Genomic DNA, 6,381 nt, shown 5'->3' with positions numbered 1-6,381 from the left:
ATCTTTTTGTAGTTCATAAACGTGATGACTGTGTTTTCATGCTCATGCGTGAGTTGCACCTCCCTCAAACCTTGTTTTGACATTGACACATTATCTGCCTGATGTAAAAATAATGAAATCCAATATACTAAGATCAGGAGATTTCACAATAAAATCCCAATTTCTGTTTCTTTTAAAAAATCAGGCCAGCCATGATGGCTTATGCCTGGAATTCCAGCACTTTGGGAGGCCCAGGCAGAAGGATCACTTGATCCTGGAAGTTCAAGATCAGCATGGTTAACACAGGGAGACCTGGTCTCAATTTAAAAATTAGCTGGGCATGGCACTTTGGGAGACTGAGGCAGGTGGATCACCCGAGATCAGAAGTTTGAGACCAGCTTGGCCAATATGGTGAAACCTCATCTCTGTATTAAAAAAAAAAAAAAATTAGCCAGTTGTGGTAATGAGCGCCTGTAATCCCAGCTACTCGAGAGGCTGAGGCAGGGGAATCACTGGAACCTGGGAAGTGGAGGTTGCAGTGAGCCAAGATCTCGCCATTGCATTTGAGCCTGGGTAACAGAGTGAGACTCTGTCTCAAAACAAACAAACAAACAAACAAAAACATTAGCCATAGCCCCAGTTATCTGGAGGCTGAGATGGAGGCTGAGAACCCACGAGTTCGTTCAAGGCTGCAGTGAGCTATCATTGCACTCCAGCCAGGATGACAGAGCAAGACCCTGTCTCAAAATAAAATAAATACTTTGGGAGGCCAAAGTGGGCAGATCACCTGAGGTCAGGAGTTCGAGACCAGCCAGGTCAACATGGCGAAACCCATCTCTACTAATAAAATACAAAAATTAGCCAGGCATGGTGGTGTGTGCCTATAATCCCAGCTACCCAGGAGGCTGAGGCAGGAGAATCACTTGATCCCAGGAGGCAGAGGTTGCAGTAAGCCGAGATTGTGCCACTGCACTCCAGCCTGGGCAACAAGAGCAAAACCCCATCTCAAATAAATAAATAAATAGAAATAAATAAATAAAATGGTTACTTTATGTTATTTCACCTCAATAATTTTAAGTAAAATAAAATTAGATAACTGATAGCCAGGCATGGTGGTGGATGCCTGTAATCCCAGCTACTCAGGAGGCTGAGGCAGGAGAATCGCTTGAATCCGAGGCAGAGGCTGCAGTGAGCCAAGATCACGCCACTGCACTCCAGCCTGGGTGACAGAGCAAGACTCCGTCTCAAAAAAAAAAATTTAGATAACTGATTAGAAGGTACTGAAGTTTGCCATCCTTTGGAAACGATCCTCTTCATTAGAAAGATGAGGATCCTGAGGCCCTACAAGGGAAGTGTCAGGTCAGTGGAAGAGACTGAAAGGGAAGTTTGGTTCCCACCCCGGCAGCACAGTCGCTGCCTCCTCTCCCCTTTACTTAGGCTATGAACTCTGGTGTGATACAGACCACAACCCGTTCACCATAGGTTACACCCCACATCTTTTGGCTCGGACCCTGGCACTTGAACTGTCAGCCTCCAAGTAGCTGGGACAATAGGCCAGCTCAACAAATGCCCCCTGCTCATTAAAATTTTTTTTTTGTAGAGTTGGGGTCTTGTTATGTTGCCCAGGGTGGTCTCAAATTCCTGATCTCAAGCAATTCTCGCCTTGGCCTCCCAAAGTGCTGAGATTACAGGCATGAGCCACTGTACACAGTCTTGATGTATTACCTTTTATTTTTTAAAAAATTTTTATAAAGACGGGTGTCACCATGTTGTCCATGCTGGTCTCAAACTCCTGGGCTCAGGCAATCCTCCCGACTTGGCCTCCCAAAGTGCTGGGATTACTGGTGTGAGCCGTGCCTGGCTTGCTTTTTTTGTTTTTGTTTTTGAGATGGAGTCTCACTGTTGCTCAGGCTGGAGTGCAGTGGCGCAATCTCGGCTCACTACAACCTCCGCCTCCTGAGTTCAAAGGATTCTCCCGTCTCAGCCTCCCGAGTAGCTGGGATTACAGGTGTGTGCCACCACACCTGGCTTATTTTTGTATTTTTAGTAGAGATGGGGTTTCACCATGTTGGCCAGGATGGTCTTGATCTCCTGACCTCATGATCCACCTGCCTACGTCTGGCTTTTTTAATTAAAAAAAAATTTTTTTAAGTACTTTTTTTCTTTTGAGATGGAGTCTCACTCTGTCACCCAGGCTGGAGTGCAATGGCACAATCGTGGCTCACTGCAACCTCCACCTCTTGGGTTCAAGCAATTCTCCTGTCTTAGCCTCCCAAGTAGCTTGGACTACAGTCATGCACCACTATGCCTGGCTAATTCTTGTATTTTTAGTAGAGATGGGGTTCCACCATGTTGGTCAGGCTGGTCTCGAACTCCTGATTTTGTGATCCACCTGCCTCAGCCTCCCAAAGTGCTGGGATTACAGGCATGAGCCACCATGCCCAGCCTAAAGTACTTTTCATTAGAGACAGTACTTTATTCAAACTGCTTCTCTTCTCGTGCTTTTGTGTCTTGAGACAGTCTGTCTGTCACCCAGGTTGGAATGCAGTGGTGTGATGACAGCTCACTGAAGCCTCGACCTTCCAGGCTCAGGTGATCCTCCCACCTCAGTCTTCTGAGTTGCTGGGACTATAGTTGTGTGCCACCATGCCTGGTGGATGTATGACTGTTTATGTAGGAACGTCTGTTAATTGTAAATTTCCTCCAAAACCACCCTGTTGTTGCAGAAATGACAGGCTGTGAGCACTGTAGCCACCTATACATTCCTTCCAGAGCACTATGCTTTTGCTCCAAGACATAAGCGGTAGGTCTTGGGGCTGTGGTGTGGAGATCTGTCATGGCGCAGCCCAAGACCATGCTTTTGTGTGTAAGTTCCTTAATAAATCACCCAAAACTGACAAACTGGATTTGTCTGCTTCCTTTTTTTTTTTGGCTCCTTTGGCATGAGGGTCACTTGGCATATACGGCCCTTTCACGGAATGCACAGCAACTCCAACAAAGAGAGATGATCTTTCACAGATGAAGCCGCTGAGGCTTAGAGAAGCGAGATTGTCCCAAGGGTGGCAGCTTCTAAGGGAAGGGCTGGAATGTGAACCCAGGCATCTTGACTTGAGCCTTGTCCTTTTGGCCCCTATGCCCTCCCACCTTCCAACCCAGGGGATTAGCTAAAATTTAGGAAAGCAGTTCATGTTATTTAAAGGGAGGGGAGGCCGGGCATGGTGGCTCATGCCTGTAATCCCAGCACTTTGGGACGCTGAGGCGGGCAGATCACTTGAGGCCAGGAGTTCAAGACCAGTCTGGCCAACATGGTGAAAACCCATCTGTACTAAAAATATGAAAATTAGCCGGGTGTGGTGGCGAGTGTCTGTAGTCCCAGCTACTCGGGAGGCTGAGATTGCAGTGAGCTGAGATTGCACCACTGAACTCCAACCTGGGTGACAGGGCAAGACTCTGTCTATAAAATAAATAAATTATAAAATAAATAAAATTTCAGAAAGCAGCTCACTTTATGTAAAGGGACAGGAAACAGCAACAGATGACATAGATATAGGATGATTCCAGTCTAGTAATAAATATACACACACCAGAAAGAGAGGCATTAAAATGTTAACGGTAGTTAACAGCCTGGGCGACAGAGCGGAGACCCTGTCTCAAAAAAAAAAAAAAAAAGTTAAGAAAAGGAGTGACAATCCACGTGTGGCCCACAAAGCTTAAAATATATACTATCTAGCCCTGGGCAGAAAAGGGTTTGACAATGCTGTTCAAAGGTCACCATTGGTAGATTGGAAACTGAAAAAGGTATATACCCTGGCATTGGACAACACAATGGCTGTGCCTCCTGCCTAAGAATGCTGAACTGGCCAAGTGAGGTACTTGGCAGCCCAGCCCTGAAATGCATAAGCTCTCCAGCCTTTTCATCACTGCTCCTCCCTGGTTCTTAACCTCTGGCCACTCGATCCTCTGGCTTCCCTTCCACCAAGCACTCGCACGTTGAGTCCAGTCCCTAGGCCTCTCCTCTAGGCTGCCCCCTCTGGAAATGTAAGCAGCACCAGGTATAAGAGCCAGGCACAGGCTGCCTTGACGTGCACCTAGCCCCCTTACTTCCCCATTGTGTGGAAGGTAAATCACTTCTCTTTGGGTCTGTTTTCCCATCTACAAGTTGGGAATGACAATAGGGTTATTCTGAGATTAAGTGAGATAAGGCAGCTAAAGCACGCAGTATGGAAGTGGTCAACATGCTGGCTCTGATGTCAGCCACGACCAGACTTCGGGTAACTATTTATAAGTCATTCCCTTCAAAACCTTTCTCTCTGTTCTTTCTCTTCTGTGACAGACTAATACTTGTGCCCCTTCCCTTCATTTAGAAACAAAATGACCCAAGTTTAAATGAACATGTAACTATCCAGCTAGAGGCATTTTAGTCTCGCATATAGGGTGGTAAGAAGGTGAGACTAAGTTCTGGCCAATGGGATCAGTGTAATTTCCAGGCCCTGTATTTCCGCTTCCTTTTACATGGGCTTGAACGAGGACTTGGGGCTGGTGAGCCGCTTTAACCACACAGATGACAACCTTGGGGATGCAAGAGCAACATGACAGCGCAGCCCTGGGTCCCTAGATGATTTTGCATAACGGTTGTTGTCTAACCCTAACCCTGGACCAATCACCTCTGAACTGTCACATGAGAAATAAGCTATTTTGCTGAGTCACTGTTTGGGGCTCCTTGTGACAGAAGCTGAGTCTAGAATCTAGTTAGTGCACGTCAGAAGGCTTCTCTTCAACTTCAGTATCAGTCCGCCCTCCATATGTGCTGTTCTTGTACTTCTGAACACAAAGAATATTCCAGCTATTTCTTGAAAACAGTCATATTTGTTTATCCTCCAGTCAGGAGAATGTGTCATTCTTGACTCCTTCAACTCCCGAATCCACTGGTCACAGTAGCTTCAGTTTTTTACATCTGCACCTCTTCAATCCTCCCCCTACCTCTGACCCCAGGCACCCTGACTTCAGATGGTTTTTTTTTTTTTTTTTGGGCTTCATGCTCTTTGCTTCCAATTTCATAGTCTTACACAATGATGCTTCATTCTCTTAAAATGGAATCCATTCATGTTATTTTGTTACCTTTTTTTAGAGACAGGGTCTTGCTCTATTCCCCAGGCTGGAGTGCAGTGGTATAATCACAGCTCACTGTACCCTTTACTTAAATAGACCTTAAGTTCCTGGGCTCAAGTGATCCTCCTGCCTCAGTCTCCCCAGCAGCTTGGACTACTGGCACACACAACCATGTCCGGCTAAATTTTAATTTTTTGTCCTCTCCCTCCCCCTCCCCCTTCCTCTCCCACTTTCCACAGTCTCCCTCTGATGCCGAGCCGAGGCTGGACTGTACTGCCACCATCTCGGCTCACTGCAACCTCCCTGCCTCATTCTCCTGCCTCAGCCTGCCAAGTGCCTGGGATTGCAGGCACGCGCCGTCTGTGTTTTTTGGTGGAGACGGGGTTTCGCCGTGTTGGCCGGGCTGGTCTCCAGCTCCTGACCGCTAGTGATCCGCCAGCCTCGGCCTCCCGAGGTGCTGGGATTGCAGACGGAGTCTCGTTCACTCAGTGCTCAATGGTGCCCAGGCTGGAGTGCAGTGGCATGATCTCGGCTCGCTACAACCTCCACCTCTCAACCGCCTGCCTTGGCCTCCCAAAGTGCCGAGATTGCAGCCTCTGCCCGGCCGCCACCCCGTCTGGGAAGTGAGGAGCGTCTCTGCCTGGCCGCCCATCATCTGGGATGTGAGGAGCCCCTCTGCCTGGCTGCCCAGTCTGGAAAGTGAGGAGCCTCTCTGCCCGGCCGCCATCCCATCTAGGAAGTGAGGAGCGCCTCTTCCCGGCCGCCATCCCATCTGGGAGGTGAGGAGTGTCTCTGCCAGGCTGCCCATCGTCTGAGATGTGGGGAGTGCCTCTGCCCGGCCGCGACCCCGTCTGGGAGGTGAGGAGCGTCTGAGAAGTGAGGAGACCCTCTGCCTGGCGACCGCCCCGTCTGAGAAGTGAGGAGCCCCTCCGCCCGGCAGCCACCCCGTCTGGGAAGTGAAGAGCGTCTCCGCCCGGCAGCCACCCCGTCCGGGAGGGAGGTGGGGGTCAGCCCCCCCGCCCGGCCAGCCGCCCCGTCCGGGAGGGAGGTGGGGGAGTCAGCCCCCCCGCCCGGCCAGCCGCCCCACCCGGGAGGGAGGTGGGGGGATCAGTCCCCCGCCCAACCAGCCGCCCCACCCGGGAGGGAGGTGGGGGGGTCAGCCCCCAACCCGGCCAGCCGCCCTGTCCGGGAGGTGAGGGGCTACTCTGCCCGGCCACCCCTACTGGGAAGTGAGGAGCCCCTCTGCCCGGCCACCACCCCGGCTGGGAGGTGTGCCCAACAGCTCATTGAGAA

General features: G+C 50.0%; 1 non-coding gene across 1 annotated transcript, besides 1 other annotated feature; it reads left to right on the top strand.

Annotated features, from left to right (window-relative positions):
• LOC124903791 (small nucleolar RNA U13) lies at nucleotides 1-104 on the top strand. The gene has a single exon (XR_007065236.1). It is a non-coding gene; the product is annotated as a small nucleolar RNA U13 (small nucleolar RNA).
• Nucleotides 5,091-6,004: an enhancer, noted in NCBI's record as "H3K27ac-H3K4me1 hESC enhancer chr16:28677654-28678567 (GRCh37/hg19 assembly coordinates)". NCBI's record gives its function as "activates a minimal SCP1, AML or CMV promoter by ChIP-STARR-seq in primed H9 embryonic stem cells {active_cell/tissue: H9 hESC(primed)}" and the evidence as "EXISTENCE:reporter gene assay evidence [ECO:0000049][PMID:30033119]".

This window comes from Homo sapiens, chromosome 16 (assembly GCF_000001405.40).
Source record: "Homo sapiens chromosome 16, GRCh38.p14 Primary Assembly".
NCBI lineage: Eukaryota > Metazoa > Chordata > Mammalia > Primates > Hominidae > Homo > Homo sapiens.
Note: the sequence above shows the minus strand (reverse complement) of the source record. Positions and strands in the feature narration are given on the sequence as shown.